This window comes from Homo sapiens, chromosome 8 (genome assembly GCF_000001405.40).
Source record: "Homo sapiens chromosome 8, GRCh38.p14 Primary Assembly".
NCBI classification, from domain to species: Eukaryota; Metazoa; Chordata; class Mammalia; order Primates; family Hominidae; genus Homo; species Homo sapiens.
The window spans coordinates 33,716,071-33,733,482 of NC_000008.11; the positions used below are offsets into that span (position 1 = coordinate 33,716,071).

Consider the following 17,412-nt stretch of genomic DNA (forward strand, 5'->3'; position numbering starts at 1 on the left):
AAAACAAAAAAACACAAAATGTTGGATTGGGCAATGAGGAGGTTGGGGTTGAACCTATTTCCACTATGGGATAGCAGAAAGAGCATATGTGGTTTGAGAGTTAGTCAGGCATGTTCCATTCAATTCCTAGCTCTGCCTCTTATGGTGGATTAGCTTTGAATGTGTTATTTAACTCATTTGTGCTTCCATTTCCTATCTGTAAATTTTATTTATTCCACAAACATTTATTAAGCACATGCTGTCTTTCCAGCTTCTGGGGATACAGTGGACACAGTCTCTGCCTCATGGAACTTATACTGTGGTCCCAGCTTCTTGGTAGGCTTAGGCAAGAGGATTGCTTGAGCCCAGGAGTTTGAGGCTGCAGTGAGCCACGATTGTACCGTTGCACTCCAGCCTGGGTGACAGCGTGAGACCTTGTCTCAAAAACAAAGAAATAAACAAACAAATCCTCCCTGCATTTGTATCCCCTAAATCTACAAAAAACAAACAAACAAAAACAAAAAAACTAAAAGTACCTAAAAAAAAAGAATGTCTTACCATAATTTATGAGATTTTAAGTGAATGGTTTGTCTTTTCTCCCTGAGCTGTTCATGGTATCATCTCTAAGGTATAAATGACACATCATTTGACTCTTTCCTTTGACCAGATTTGATGGAGAGAACAAGGTAAAAGCATAAGGGCCAGTTGAGGGGAAGGTGGAAGAAGAAAACAATTCCATACTTTGCACCCTCGTAGGGAAAGGGCATGGATTTTGCTGCAGACAGGCTCAAGATTGAATTCTAGTAACTCCACTTAAACTTTGTGCAAATTGTTTAAGCTGTCTTTGTCATCCATGAAATGAAAATACCACTACTACTAATACCTATTTTGTAGGCTAGGAATGGTGGTTCATGTCCGCAATCCCAGCACTTTGAGAGGTTGAGGCGGGAGGATCACTTGAGATCAGGAGTTGAAGACCAGCCTGGCCAACTGTGTCTACAAAACCCTGTGTCTACAAAAAATACAAAAATTAGCTGGGCGTGGTGGCAGGTGCCTGTAATCCCAGCTACTCAGGAGGCTGAGGTAAGAGACTCACTTGAATTTGACAGGTGGAGGTTGCAGTGAGCTGAGATCATGCCATTGCACAATCTGGGTGACAGAGTGAGACCCTTTTCTCCAAAATACACCCCAAAAAACAAAAAGCCCAAAAACCTATTTTACAAAGCTATAGTAGAAGAATGAACAAGTTCTGGTCTGAAGTATCTACTCAATAAATACTTATTATTTGGCATGTCGTTTAGTGCCTTTTTCTTACCACTTTCCTCTCTGTTGATTCCTCTCTGCTCAGGTGAGAAATTTCTCTGCTGTCTGGGCTTCACCTTTTAGGGAAGAAAGATATAAGATATTATGCTAATTTGCATTAAGGTTTGGGGCACAATAAGTCACATGGTACCTTTCCCATGAATGTTGCATTTTAAAAGAGAGTATCCCATGGAGAAGGCAATGTTTAACACGCAAGCTGGAATTTCAGGGTTCTACAGCAAAACTAATTTGAAGTGATGGTGGGCAGAGGAGCTCTACTAGTATTGGTCAAAACACCTCTCAAGATCACCAATTTCGTTCTCATTCCTGGATCCTAGGAGGTGGGTATTTGCATTGTCTTTAATTGCCATGCTCATAGGGTCGAGGGAGGCCTTTTTATCTGGGGAGTCAGGCAGGCAAAACACTTCCTGGGCCTTAACAGGTTTTATTAGTTTCTGTCCAGTCATTTGGTGGTGGTGATGGTGCTGCTGGAGGTAGTATGTGTATGCGTGTGGATTTATAGTTGTTTATTACTCTAGTGGTAGAAATGGGGGCTATGGGCCATGGTGAAGTGGTCGGGCAGGGAAGGAGCCAGAAAGGAAACATTTGGGCTGTCCTTGAATGAAGAACTGGAGTCCAGCAGGCTGGAAGGACATTTCGGGCAGAAGGAGGAGCATGAACAAAGGCATTTACTAAGAAAGCATCCCTTGGGATGGAGGGGAGGGCTGGAGTGTCTGTAAAGCTGCTGGCCTCTGGCCCTGGGGGGGTTCCCATCCCCACCCTGTCCATTTCATGGCCTTCCAAACCAGTGCGCAGTTAGCAATTCATTGTCTTGAAGGACAAACACATTGCCCTTTCTTTACTTCAATGCTGCATTCTTTAGGTGTCGGGTCCCACACAGCCAAGGCTTGGGGACTCTGTCCACGCATGCCTTTTTGAGAGGCAAACGTAACCTTTTTGGTCTCTGGGTGACTAACCTCTGTGATTGTTTTGCTCATTTGCTATAAATGACTATCTCTACCACTTGGTTAATTATGTGATTACAGCAGCCAGTGACAAGGAGAAAATTAAAAATCCATGCTGCATTTTCTATAACACTTTTGCTCTATGCAAAAGAGGGCAAATGCAATTTAGCTGAGCTGCGGTGAACAAGAGCTGCTTCCTTCCCCTCGTTTCAGCCCCTCCCTCGTCCTCCCCTGGAGAGAAGCTGTGTTAGCAGATGACTAAAGCTGGGAAGAGAGCAGGTGTGGAAGGAAACATAAATTACCATTATCCCTGACAATTCTGGACAGTGCCACCCACGGAGCAGCAGCTCAGCCAGACATTTCCCCCTGATTTCAGGAAAGACCAGTAAGTTGTGGGCTTCTGCTAAGTGCATTAGTGTAGAACAAGGTTTCAGCTTGGGCTCCATATTTAATCTTTATTTCTTTATGATGCCCTGCTATAGTTGTGCCTCTTCTGAAAAATCCAAGATACAGAAAGGGGAGGTACTGCTAACACGGAGCGAGTACAGTTCTTGGAGCCAAGACACCTGAGTTCTTGGAGTCAAGATAATCTGCCACTTACCTGGTGTCTGAGGCGGGGCCATTGCTTATTCTATCTAAGCTTCAGTTTTCTCACTTATAAATTAGGGATTTTAAAGCACCCTTTCTCCTCTCTCACATTTAACATCTCTGAAATCAGGCTACCCTGATGATGGTTGCATTTTAGCATGTGTCAAAAGTTTAATTGACTTCACTTTTTTAAACAGTGTTCCATTAAATAATATTGGGTCTCTGAATTGGCATTTTAGACTTGATGAAATAAGGTCCTGTGCAGGCTGGTTGTAGAGATTTAAAGAAGAAATATATGTTATCTATGTGACTCTCTATGCTATTGTCAGACCCCCTAGGATATGAATTCTAATCCAGGCTCCCTTGTGTCACCTAGACAAGTTATTCAAAATTGATCCCCTCACCTAGAAAATGAAACAACCTCCAAACTCTCCATAAGAATTAGCCTAAAGCAGTCTAGGGCCAAGGAACTAAACAAAGCTTAGGGGTCAATAGTATCCGCACCATCTCTATCCTCGTCTACACATATTTGTGGATGCAAAGATTCCCAGGAGTTACAAAGGTCAAAGTTAGAAAAGTTACAACTATTCCTGGGAGTTACAAAGCCTGGTCACAGGTGAGGTTTAGGGTTTATGGGTGTGAGCGGCATACATGTTTAGTTTATGTGTGTTGCTATAACAAAATGCTACAGGCTGGGTAATTTATAAGCCAGAGAAATTCATCTCTCATAGTTTTGGAGGCTGGGAAGTCCAAGATGAAGGTACTGGCAGATTCTATGTCTGGTGAGGGCTGGGTTGCTCTGCTTCCAAGATGGTGTCTTTTCACTGTTACCTCATGTGGTGGAAGGGACAGAAAAGGGTGAGTCCACTTCCTCAAGACCTTTTATTTTATTTTATTTTATTTTATTTTTTGAGATGGAGTCTCACTCTGTTGTTCAGGCTGGAGTGCAGTGGTGTGATCTCAGCTCACTGCAACCTCCACCTCCCGGGTTCAAGTGATCTCCTGTCTCAGCCTCCCAAGTAGCTGGGATAACAGGTGTGCGCCACCACGCCCGGCTAATTTTTGTATTTTTAGTCGAGACAGGGTTTCACCATGTTGGCCAGGCTGGTCTCAAACTCCTGACCTCAAGTGATCAGCCTGCCTCGGCATCCCAAAGTGCTGGGATTACAGGCGTTAGCCACCACCACGCCTGGCCCCTTTTATTTTATTTTTAAGAGACAGGGTCTTGCTGTGCTGTCCAGGCTGGAGTGTAGTGGTGCAATAATAACTCACTCCAGCCTTGAACTCCTGGTTTGAGCCATCCTTCTGCCTCGGCCTTCCAGGTAGCTGAGACCACAGGTATGTGTCGCCATGCCTGGCTAATTTATTTTATTTTGTAGAGACAGAGGCTCTCACTATGTAGCCTAGGCTGGTCTGGAACTCCTAGGCTTAAGTGATACTCTCACCTCAGCCTCTCGAGTAGCTGAGATTATAGGTTTGAGCCACTGCACCCAGCATAAAGTTCTTTTGTAAGAGTCCCCACCTTCATGACTTAATCACCTCCTAAAGGCCATACCTCTCTATCAAATTGGTAATTAGGTTTCGACATATGATTTTTGGGGGAAACATTCAGACCATTGCATATGGCACAGTAAATTAATGTAAGGTGGAGTAGGATACATGTAATAATTGAGGTGTAAAAAGGCATTGCTTGTGAATAGAAGAGGTAATTTCAGCAGACAGGTTCAGGAAATATAACACTGGTTTTGAGTCTTGAATTATGTCTAGAGTTCCAAAAAACGCAGGAATAAGGGAAATGAACAATGAAGCACATTTGAAAAGAGTAGGTTGTGCTCGAGAGGTGACAAATTATCTACTTTGACTCTAGAGCATTTGGGGGCTAGGAGTGTTTGAAGGGGTTGGAGTGTTTTGGGGCAGAGAAAAAGCTATGATGGGAACTAGGTAACTGACATCACTGTCTGCCTGCTTGCTCAAGCCACGCACCTTGAAGTAATCTCTGAAGTCTTTCATTCTTCTTTTTCCTTTTCCTCCCACAAGTGATCCTAGAGTAGATTCTGTAAAATCCTACCCCTCTTGCATATCATACCTCGGTTCAACTCTTTCCATCTCTCTTGCTGTCACTCTGGTCCAGGCCACCTCCACATCTCACTTGAAATCTGCAGGGGCTTCCAACTGAGTTCCTTGCCTCGTCCCTTGCCCCCAGCTCAATCTCTTCTTCTTAGGGTAGCCAAACTGACCCATCTAGGCTGAATATCACATTAGTTTGCTTCCTTACTTTTCTTTTTTCTGGTTGTAAACACTTCCAACAAGGCAGAAATGAGTAAGGGGAAAGTGGAACTTGCTGTGGACACGGCCACAGGACCACGCTTTTGTTCCTGTTGGGATGCCTGGGTCGGTTTCACAGGTCGCCTCTCAGTCCTGCAGGCTGAACCCGTCTGTCTGGGTGCCCCGCGCTGCCTGCCTCCTGGGCACTCTGGGGCGACGTGGACGGATGCGCCCTTGTCTAAGCTTCGGTGTGTGCGGTGAGGGGTCTGCACCAAAAATGCTCCATCAATGAGGGAGAGTCCTCCCCGGGAGGGGCTTCCGTGCCTCCCATTCTGGGCACTTCGAGATTTTCAGCAGGAAGTGCTGTCCTTGAGTCATTCTGTTTTGTCCCGAGGCTGCTGCGAGGAGGTGGACAGGTGAGCACATGCTGAAGAGTGGGGACATGTGCGACGGTTTCAGTCCAGGCACAGCCGCAGGTCCTGGCTGCCCCACTTTCCCTGGCCCGAGAAGAGCAGCCCCCAGCAGGCTGCCGGCACAGTCCCGGCTCACTCACGGCCTAGAGAGCATTGCAGGGCCCCAGCAGGCTGCCGGCACAGTCCCGGCTCACTCACGGCCTAGAGAGCATTGCAGGGCCCCAGCATCCCGCCTTAATTTTCACCTTTGTTCCCTCCTTCTTTCCAGCTTTGGAGTCCTTGTTAAGAGGGACTCGAACCCCAAGGTTATAAACACGACACTTGCATTCCCTTCCAATCCTTCCTGGTTTTCTTTTTTACACACAAAATTTACAACCTTTACTTTTTCCAACTGGAAAACCAGTTTTTCCAACATTTTTTAAAAAACAAATTATCCTTTTATCATATGCTGAAAGCCCTACCCATAACAAGCCCATTTCTGCGTTTGACTCGGTTCACTGACCATTTACTTCCTAAACAGACCCTTTTGGTAACTTTCAGTGAAGAGATGGCTTTAATAAATATATTCTCCAGAAAGCTCCAGAACCTTTGCATGGGTCAGGGTGAGAGGTGCCGCCACGATGTAAACAGAACAGAGCAGCTGAGCCCTCCAGGTGGGCTCCAGGTGCGATCTGCACAGACCGCGCGTGTGGGAGGCATGGAGTCAGAGGTGCATCCTCAAAATGCATCCCCCCGTCTCCTGCAGGGCGCTCAGGCCCCAGGGCCCCGTGGACAGAGCTGGTCCCAGCGTACGCACGCCACTTCCTGGGCTTGGCCGGTGGTACGCCAGAGGCTGCCCATAGCAGGAAACCCCCGCAGAGGCCAGGGCCTCTTGTTCCACTTGGCAGAGACCCCAGAGAGAGCCAGGGGGCAGCATCAGAGCCTGGGGCCCTGGCAGGGGTGCCCAAGGGCACGGCAGCTGCAGGTATTGACAAGGCCAGAAGACGGTGAGTGGAAAGCAGGGGGCGCGTGGAGAGACACAGAGAAGGGGCTGTTCAGCTGGGAGTCCTGCGTTTGTCGTTTCTGTTTCATCTGGCGTTTTTGAAACCAGGTTTTTGTCTAGACGTCCGAGAGCTGCATCTCCCTGCCAGCCTTTTCCGTTCCAGAGGGCCCAGGTCCTGGTGGTGCTGGAAGACGCCCTCCAAGGCGCGGACCTGCTCGGTGGTGAAGGCTGTGCCTACACAGGGGGCCTGCCAGGGGTTTGGCTTCTTACCCAACCCAGCCACGGCCCTCTCCGGCGCAGGCAGATTTGAGGACCGAGCCTTCTTGATGCTGACGGCCTGAGGGGGCTCCCGGGTGCCGGATGTCTGGCCCGGGCCAGGGTGGCTCCCCGGGGAGACGTCGGCAGGCCTGGGGGTGTGGGTCGGCCCTGAGCAGCTGTTCTGGGAGAGCCAGTCCACGGAGCCAAAGCTGGAGGGCTGCTGCCGGCCACGAGGTGGGGAGGAGGACGGACGCATGGCGGTCAGGTGGGCCAGAGGGAAGGCCGGGCAGGGCTGGCCAGGCGCAGGATCCACCACCTGCTTCCTTCTTAAAACCTGCTAATGGTTTCTCATCAGACATGGGGTTAAAAATCCATGGGCCTGTAAGCCCTACGTGGTCCAGGCTCTCCAACCTTGTCTCACACCATTCTCTCCATTGTTCCTGACGCTCTACCCACCCTGGTCTTCATAGTTCCATCGGGCCTTTGCCTTGGCTGGTTCCTTTGCTTGACGTAGTCATCCCCTAGAGGGTCATGTGGCTTGCTCCTAGTTATTCAGGTCTCCGTTTAAATGTCTCTTACTCAGATGCTCCTAATCACCCATTGTAGAGTGGTCCCCCGCCCCTGCCATTCTCTAGCGCTGCTTTATTTTCTTCATAGCACTTGTCACCATTTGAAATTTTTTGTTTGCTTGCTTAATTTGTCTGCTTAATATTCTACTAAGAAATTAGGAATCTTGACTAATTTCTGGTTTCTTGATTTTCCCAGTATCTCCCATGCTTGGCATTTAATTGATATTTACTGAATAAAAAGGCAAAGCTGGAGCGGGAGGCTGAGGCTAAGTTTTGGAATGCTTGGGTGCATTGCTAAGGAGCCTGGACTTCACTCGATAGTTAAGAGGAGGGGCATTAGAACTCTTTGAGCAGAGGATTAATGCAATTAGAATTAAGCTTTACGAGTACTGACCCAGAAGTGGGATGCAAGATGAATTGGAGAGGGAAGAGAGTAGGAATAAGAGATCTCTTAGAAGCCAAACTTCATACACTAGATGACTTGACTCTTTCCAAAATATTTGATGATTTTCTGGCTTCTTTGCCGTCGTGCATAAGAAACAGTGTGTGGATGCTGCTGTAATAACCCTGGACATAAAATCAGTAGAGCATTATTCCTTTTTTTTTTTTTTTTTTTTTGAGATGGAGTCCCTCTCTTTTGCCCAGGCTGGAGTGTAGTGGCGTGATCTCGGCTCACTGCAGCCTCAAACTTCTGGGTTCAAGCAATCCTCCTGCCTCAGCCTCCTGAGTTGCTGAGACTACGGGCGTGCACTAATTTTTTAACATTTTTTTTTGTAGAGATGGAGTCTCACTCTGTTCCCCAGGCTGGTTTCGAACTCCTGAGCTTAAGGGATCCTCCTGCCTCAGTTTCCCAAAGTACTGGGATTACAGGTGTGAGCCACAGCACCACCTGGCACATTTGCCACTTTCAAATGTCCTTATTTGTGCATAGATTCGTTCTTTCCTTCCTTCCCCTCATCTCTGGACTGTCTTGTTCATCGAGGATGAGACCATGTCTTGTTCTCTCGATCCCAGAGTCTGGCACTGAGTAAGGTTCTCAACAAGTGTTTAAGACGTGTTTGTGGGATACATAGATATGGCAAGTAAATCCTTTTAAGTGTTTTCAGAAGGCTGTATCCTGAGTCATTTCAAATTGGCCCATAGGCAAGTACTTGTGTTGTGCAAAGCAAGGAATGGTACCTTTAATGAACTGGGAGGCTGAGGTAGAGATAAGGGCATAATGAGGAAAAAGATGGTAATTCTATTCTTTATTTTGGTTTCTTCTCCAGACTTTGATTTATTGTTACGGAGTTTTTCAGGTCATAAACACAGAAGACACATTGAGATCATTTTTGGGAGAACTGAGAATGTATCTGTGGCCATAATTCAGTGTGTTTTATTTTGGGAAATGAGAAGTCATGTTTTCATTTCATTTGTTGTTGCTAAGCTCTGAAGATTGCCAATTAGCCCTTGCCCTTGCTGGATGCCTTGGTAAATTTTTAAAATTTGTGGTCCTTGAAAAAACAAAGCAAACAGCCCTATTATTTTTCTGCACTTTTGTATCTTTATTGTATCACTTATTATAGTCTGCTTTATATTATGGTTATTTGTTGGTGTGGCTTTCTTCTCAGCTAGATTGGGAAGCCTTTAAGGCAGGAACTATGTTCATTAATCTCTTAGCATGGTGCCAGGTACATAGAAGGAGCTTAATTGATGCAAGCTGTATGGAATTTTTTGTAATTGTACATTAAGACATAGAGAAGAGGCTGTTTTTCTTTTTCTCAGTCCCCTTGGGAACTAGATGTCAATGCCACATTTTCTGTATTTCTGTTTGATCTGCAATCATTTATACATTGTCTTCAGGTATTTCATAAGGATTGTATTTATCTATATCAACGTCTATATCTGTCAGAGGCATTTGAACCAAAGTGACTCCATCTTGAATAGGGGCTGGATAAAATGAGGCTGAGACCTACTGGGCTGCACTCCCAGGAGGTTAGGCATTCCTGGCCACAGGAGGAGATAGGAGGCTGGGACAAGATACCGGTCACAAAGGCCTTGCTGATAAACAAGGATGCAGTACAGAAGCCGGCCAAAACTAAGATGGCGATGAAAGTGACTTCTGGTCATCCTCACTGCTCATTATGCACTAATTATAATACATTAATATGCTAAAAGACGCTCCTAATGTCCCAAAGACAGTCTACAAATGTCATGGCAATGTCCAGAAGTACCCTATATAGTCTGACATGGGGAAGAACCCTCAGTTCTGGGAAATCGCTTTTGGGAAATCCCTGCTCCACCCCTTGTTTAGCATATAATCAAGAAATAACTGTAAGTATACTCAGTTGAGTGGCCCTGTCACTTCTGCCTATGGAGTAGCCATTCTTTTATTCCTTTACTTTCTTAATAAACTTGCCTTCACTCTATGGACTCACCCCAAATTCTTTCTTGTGTGAAGTCCAAGAACCTTCTCTTGGGGTTTGGATTGGGACTTCTTTCTGGTAACATATCTGTGTCTATGTCTGCATGCCCATCTATCATCTGTCTGCCTGCGTATGTATGTATGTATGTATGTATGTATGTATGTATGTATCTATCATCTATCTATCTATCTATCTATCTATCTATCTATCTATCTATCTATCTCAAGAATACAGCTGTCTTTCCTGCAATAGACTGCTTGCTCTTCAGGAACTGGGTAGTATCCATGGGATAAAGATTGCTCCTTTGAAATTGTCCATTGGTGTCTTTCTGAGATTTTTGCATCATTTTTCAGCTTCGGGGATATAGAGCAGGAAGTATTTCCTGAATCATTGCTAATGAAGACCTCTGTGGAGTTTTCCTAAGTTGGGGGACTCTGTTAAGAGTAGAGGGAAGAACCAGAGCTTAATGTGATTCCTCCTTAAAGAGTAGGCGCCTGCAGAGGCTATTTGGGCTATCTGTGGCCTTGGGCTGATATTGAGTTGTATGGATATATTTAGCCCTTGCGTGGACACTCAGAACCTTCAAGAGTTGTTGGTTTTGAATCTTGAGAGTGCCTTGGAAATCCCTAATGAGACAGCTGGAACCACGATCACTGGCAAACTTATCCCTAAAGGTCTGATCATTTACCCTTAGTCAGGGTTTGGTCAGGTGGTCCCCTTTCTGTTCTCCTTAACTCAAGAGGAAAGGAGAAAACTGGGACTGGAAAAGCCCCTTTCCACACAGCAGCTTAGCAGGCCCTGTGGAAGTGTAGGAAGATGCCAGTGGCAGAAGGTTCACTTGGCTGCCTGACTATGGTCATGCTAGAAATTAGGATTCCAATGATTCCTCCAGATAGGCATCCAAGTTACTTTATTCTACAAGACCCAGTTCCTTTTGGGATTTGATTTCAAATGTATGTCTCATAGAGCTAATTAAAAAATCATAGTGTTGATGTTATGGATGGAACCCAGGGGGAGAGAAAGCTGGAGCCTCAGGAAAGGCATCAGAGTGACGCCAGGAGGTAGACATTGCACTCAAAAGATGCACAAAGGTGGCCGCAGCAGTTAACAGCAACTGCTGTGAGTCAGCCCCAAGTCAGGGATCTTCTAATGACAGCTCAGAAAGGAAGTTGCAAGCAGCGGTCCACTGGGTGGCTGATAGTTATTGATATCCAGAGGAAGCCATGGCACTGGATATAATTGGCTGCAGAATGGGGGCACATTATACGAAATGGTACCTTTAAGAATTAACAAGTTTCTGTTCCTCTAGAGAGAAATCGATATAAAAGATTTTTAAATAAATGGTCATGTCAATGATGGAGAAAATGATTTCTGTCAAATGAATTAAATTGATTGGGGAGATGCAAGAGAGATTTCTTCACTCTGGGATGAGTGGGCAGAACATTTACAAGCCATGCCACTGTATGGTTTCTTGGTTTCTGGGTTGTTTTCTAATATAGATCACTAAGGAAATGATATTAGTTCTGAAGTGCTCTACTACAGAGATGAAAACCACCAATTTTTTATTATTGCCAAAGGGAGCCTCCTCTAGAAGTGACCTAGAGCATGTTATAAGTAGCTCTTCCTTGTCTGGCTGGGCTAGTGCAGGTACAGTTCTGCATGGAGGCAGCTGAATGACTGTGTCAACCTATGGCTGCACTCCCTGAAAGAGATTGAAGTGCCCCCAGGACAGACTAAAAGTCAGCCATGGGTCACTGCCCAGGGAGATTGGTTACAGTACCATGGTTGTGGGTTTAGGTGGTGGACATATAAATTATAGAACATAATTTATAGAAATATATAATCCTATGTAATTATAGAATTATAAATATATTATTTATTTTATCTATCACACTTCATACCTACTTCATTAACTATGAATTAAATTAGTTCTCCAGATTAATTATAAATATACTACATTATATATAGTATATTTGTATATTTATAGTATACTATATATATCTTTTATGTATATATAGTATATTTGTACAGTAATAAGGTCTGTACAGGCCAAGTGTGGCTTGGTGCCTGTTTCTGTAAGAAAAGTTTTATTAGAACACAGACACGCTCATTGCATTGTCTGTGACTGTTGTCCTGCTCTGATGGTAGAGTTGAGAAGTTGTGACAAGACCACAGAGCTCTCAAAGTCAAACATGTTAACTCTCTGGCCCATTGCAGACATGGGCTATTTTTGATCTAGTCTAGTCCTCTGATTTCACCCATGAGGAAACCATCCTGGGAGGTAGGATGACCTTGCCCTGGATCACACGGCTGGACCTGGAAGAGTCAGAACTGAAATCACCTCCTCAGCTTCCCTGTGTGTGTTCACACCCTGTACCAACTGTACTGCCCACCCAGCTTCTCCAATTGTCACCCATTTATGGCAAGAGGAAAGAGATCCAATGAAGAGTAAGTTTTTTGTTTTTTTTTTTTAGAGACGGAGTCTTCCTCTGTTGCCCAGGTTGGAGTGCAATGGCGTGACCTTGGCTCACTGCAACCTCCGTCTCCCAGGTTCAAGCGAGTCTCCTGCCTCAGCCTCCTGAGTAGCTGGGATTACAGGCACGTGCCACCACACCTGGCTAATGTTTATATTTTTAGTAGAGACGGGGTTTCACCTTGTTGGTTAGGCTGGTCTCAAACTCCTGACCTCGTGATCCGCCCGCCTGGGCCTCCCAAAGTGCTGGGATTACAGGCGTGAGCTACTGCGCCCAGCCAAGAGTAAGTTTTAAGAAAGGAATGAGAGGGAAAGGTCTGGCACATGGGAGACTTTCGGGTGTCACACTGGGGGAATTTGGGTAGGATCCACAGCAAGAGGGGTTCATCAGTAGGAGTGCCAGTGTTTCCCACTTGGCATTTTTCTTTTTGTTGCAGTGGGCTCAGGCCCCTGTTGTAGAGCATGTACACAGGCTCTGGCTGTGTCTTTCCAAGTGTCTATCATCAATCCTTAAGACAAACATATGGGGTAGGGAGTGTTTTTATTCCTACTTTAAAGATGATTAGACTAAGGCCAGAGATGTTAAGTAACATGTCATTGATCCCAAAGCTGGAATGTGGTAGAACTGGGGTTTGAACTCACGTAGATAGGCTCTAGAGCCAGCCTCATTGAAATCACACTTCATGTACCATCTTCTTGCTGCTTTTCTGATGCTGGGCCTGTCATTGTGGGAGAAGCACTTTTCTTCTTCTTCTTTTTGAAAGAAAGCAGAATTTACATTTATGTTGACCGTATGTTCATTATCCGTGACTCAGTACAGAGAACCTTTCTGTGCCTTCTTATAGGATGAGGTTGCTTATCCTTCAGACACTACAGAAGGAAGAAGCACAGCTAAATACATTAACAACACTTACCTCCTGGCTTCAAGGCCCTTCATATAATTTACCTGGAGAGACCAGGGTGCTCAAAGACATAGAAGGAATAAGATTACGTCTATCAGATACTATGCTTATTATCTGGGTGACAGAATTATCATGCACCAAACCCCCACAACATGTAGTTTACCTATATAACCAACCTGAACATGTACCCCTGAAACTAAAATAAAAGCAAAAAAAATTATTAGATTCTAGGGAAGAAAATTCTATAGCTGGATCCAAATTATACCTTGATAATAATAAATAAATGTGATTAGAAATAAGAGTATTTTTAACATAAGAATTTAGAATTTTTAAAAATCTGTTTTTTGATTAATTATTATAGATTCACAGAAAATTGCAAAAAAAGAAAAAAAAGAAAGAAAGGAAAAAAATGTACAAGGAAGACCCATTTTCTCTAATGGTACCATCTTGCACAGCTACAGTACAATATCAAAACCAGAAAGTTGACATTGATAAAATCCACAGAGCTTGTTCAAATGTCATTACTTTTACATACACTCATTTGTGTGTATACCTGTGTGTATAGTTCTGTGCAATTTTAGCACATAGATTTGTGTAACCACCACCCATCACAATCAAGATATGGATTGTTCTATTATCACAAGACACCCTTATGCTACTGCTTTATCATCGCACGTATGCCTACTTCCAATCCTCACTCCAGCAATCAGTCATCTGCTTTCTCTGTCTATAATATTGTCATTTTAAGAATGTTATGCACTCATGCTTGTAATCCCATTACTTTGGGAGGCTGAGGTAGGAGGATCACTTGAGCCCAGGAGTTTGAGACCAGCTTGGGCAACATAGTGAGACCTTTTCTCTACAAAAAATAAAAAAAATTAGCCCAGTGTGGTGGTTCATGCCTGTAGTCCCAGCTGTTTAGGAGGCTGAGGTGGGAGGATGACTTGAGCCCAGGAGGTGGAGGCTGCAGTGAGTCAAGATCGTGCCACCTCACTTCAGCCTGGGCCACAGAGTGAGACCTTGTCTCAACAAAAACAACAACAACAACAACAGCAACAGCAAAAACAACAACAACCAAGAATGCTATGCAAATTTAATGGTAGAGTATTTAACCTTTTGAGATTGACAGTTTTTTCACTCAGCCTAATGCCCTTGAGATGCATCCAAGTTGTTGCATGTGTCAATAGTTCATTCCTTTTCAGTGCTGCATAATATTGCATGATGGAGGTTTCTCACTGTGTAACCATTTGCCTGTTGAAGGACATTTTGGTTGTTTCCAGTTTCTGGCTATTACAAATAAAGCTGCTATAAACAGATTGTGTGTGTGTGACCAAGTTTTCATTTCTCTGGGATAAATGTCTAGGAGTGCAATGTTGTGTCATACAGTAAGTACATGTTTAGTTGTAGAAAAAGCTGTCAAACTATTTTCCAGAGGGGCCATACCATTTTACGTTCCCACTAGGCATACATGAGTGATCCAGTTTCTCTGCAGCTTTGTCAGCATTGGGGATTTTCCCTGTTTCTCACTTTAGCGATTCGGATAGGTATGTAGTGATTGATCATTGTGGTTTTAATTTGCATTTCCCTCATGGCTAATGTTGTTGAATGTGTTTTCATGTGCTCATCTGCCATCTGTATATCCTCTTCAGTGAAATGTGTATTCATGTATTTTACCATTTTATAATTAGATTTTGTTTTTTTAATTGTTGAGTTTTGAGAATTCTTTATATATTTTAGGTACGAGCTCTTCGTTGACTATGTCATTTGCAAATATTTTCTCCCATCCTGCAGCTTGATTCGTCATTCTCTCCATAGCTGTTTTGTTTTTTTTTTTCAGAGTAAAAGTTTTTTTTATTTTAATGAGGTTCAATTTGTCAATTTTTCCTTTTATGGATTGTGCTTTTGGTATCAAAGTGAAGTGATCTTTTGAAACAGGGTGGACAGTGGCTGGGATTAGTGTTACCAAAAGAGCTTGTGGATCTACTACAAACACTAAAAGGCCAAGTGACCCTTTCATTCTCTCTGCATGAAGTGTGGTCTGATGCCTTGTTTTAGCATCAGGCTACTGGGGGAGTGCAAGTTAAGCCCTTGATATGCCATTAGTATCTGGGAAAGAGACAGAGGCGGGATGTCAGTTATGGGGACACAGAATAAAATCCTTAAGAATCAAGAGCTATCTCTGAGAATTAATGGACTGCTTTCCTCCAGCTTATTCAAATAATCAGCTCATTTCATGTGAGATAAATTACAGGACCTTGTCACCCTGGCTCCCAGAGGAGGACACTTCTGTGATTCACAGTGCTCACCCCCGGGGAGCCTGAGGTGGGGGCACAGAGGCCTGTCTAGCTGATTGATGACTTGTGGCCTGCTGTTCAACCTCCCTGCAAGGAGCAGGGCAAGGGAGGGATTCACATGAAGCCACTGCCCACAGGACAGGCCTGGACCATGCCATGGAGAGGGAGCAATCTTAACAACCGCAGTCAGGTTCAACCTTGAAGCACCATTTGGCATTCTCCGGAGCCCTACAGGATGCAAGCAGAGCCAGCATCCACTTTGTTGCGTGTAGCCTTTGTTATTGTTGGTGGTTGTGCTGGTTGGTGCTGTTGTGTATATGTTGAGGCTGTAGGGGGTTGTATTGCAAGGGAGAAGCAAATTCTGGATGTAGGAGAAATAGTGCAGTGTGCCAGAAATGGAGCCTAGGGCATGATCTTATGGTGATGGGAAGTTCTGCAAGGAAGCATGGACATCTGGTCTTTCGAACTATGGAGCTCAATGGGAATTAACCATAAAGCAACTTAAAAAACCCTACTGCCCCTTATTTATTTATTTATTTATTTTTACTTGTGGTATAATTACATTGGTATAAAGTTCAAGAACAGACAGAACTTGTCCATGGTAGAAATCAGAAAAGAGAGAAGTAGAAATTGACTGAGGAAGGTCACAAGGGAACTTCTTGGAGTACTGGAAACATGCTATATTTTTATTTGGTTGGGGTTATACCAAGTGAATTAGATGGATAGATAATTGATGATGATGATGAAGATAGATAGATAGAAAATAGGTAGATAGATGCTAGGTGGATAGAGATTGATAGATAATAGAAAGATAGGTGATAAATAATAGGTAATAGATCATAGATAGATGATCATGATGATAGATAGATGTAGAGATATATATCACTGAGTTGTACACTTAACATCTGTACGTTTTACTTTATGTAAATGTTACCGCTCATTTTAAAAAATAAGTTTTAAAAAAAGGAAACAACCTTCACTGGAGTTTGAGGAAAGGGGTCCCCATTTGCCAAGTTCCCCACACGGCCTCTGCCCCATCCCCTATTCCCTAATCAGAAGTTCTTTCTTCCTAGGCTCCAGGGCTTCTCCCAGCTACATCTTCACGGCTGAGTACACACAGGGTTCAGAGGCTTCTTGGAAGCCTCTTGCTGGCTGGACAGGCCTTCACTTAGGGCTTGAGTGTTCAGGTCGGCATATGTCACCCTGTGGGCTTCTTCAGCTCTGGAGGCCTGGGATCCTTCATCCAAGGCAGGCCAGCAACTCTTCCAGCTGGTGGCACATCTGTTACTGCCTCTTTGGGTTCTTTGGAAGAATGGGAGCTTTTGGTTACCTTGTCAGGAGCTGCTCCACTCTGGGTGTTTGTAGATGAGAAAGATGGAGAGGAAGAAGATTAAGATGATTATGACAGTGATGATACTCCCAGCTCCCAGGGGTTCCTCGTCCCTGTTTTTCTGTCTGAGGAGGCTTGTTTCCTTCAGATTTATTGGTTTGTGGAAGCAAAATATACTGAGTTTTAGTTCCACTTACTCTGCCATCTTCTCCTTAGCCATGCAGATACTTTGTAATTGCCACTGCACAGAAGATTCAGGACAGAGCAGTTTTGTTTTATTTATTTATTTTTCTTTCCTTCCTTTTTTTTTTTTTTTTTTGAGACAGACTCTGGCTCTGTCTCCCAGGCTGGAGTGCAGTGGCGCAATCCTGGCTTACTGCAACCTCTGTCTCCCAGGTTCAAGCAATTCTCCTGCCTCAGCCTCCCGAGCAGCTGGGACTACAGGCATGTGCCACCATGCCCGGCTAATTTTTTTGTATTTTTGGTAGAGATGGGGTTTCACCATGTTGGTTAGGCTGGTCTCGAACACCTGACCTCAAATGATCTGCCCGCCTTGGCCTCCCAAAGTGCTGGGATTACAGGCATGAGCCACCGCGCCTGGCTTTTTTCTTTTCCCTCCCTCACTCCCTTCCTCCCTTCCTTCAGCGTCTTGCTCTGTCGCCCAGGCTGGAATGCAGTGGCATAATC

At 44.4% G+C, this 17,412-nt stretch overlaps 1 long non-coding RNA gene and 1 pseudogene across 5 annotated transcripts in view; one reads left to right on the plus strand and one right to left on the minus strand.

The window, feature by feature from the left end:
* Nucleotides 5,124–7,066, minus strand: VENTXP5 (VENT homeobox pseudogene 5; annotated as a pseudogene).
* The window catches only part of LOC105379364 (uncharacterized), a 535,736-nt gene continuing 524,635 nt past the window's right edge, over nucleotides 6,312–17,412 (plus strand). For 4 of the 5 annotated variants that reach the window (NR_189606.1, NR_189607.1, NR_189608.1 and 1 more), the window contains exon 1: nucleotides 6,312–6,498. This is a non-coding gene — a long non-coding RNA (uncharacterized LOC105379364). Of the gene's footprint in view, nucleotides 6,499–6,602; nucleotides 7,018–17,412 lie in introns of all 5 variants that reach the window. The other variant, NR_189605.1, reaches the window with a different exon arrangement.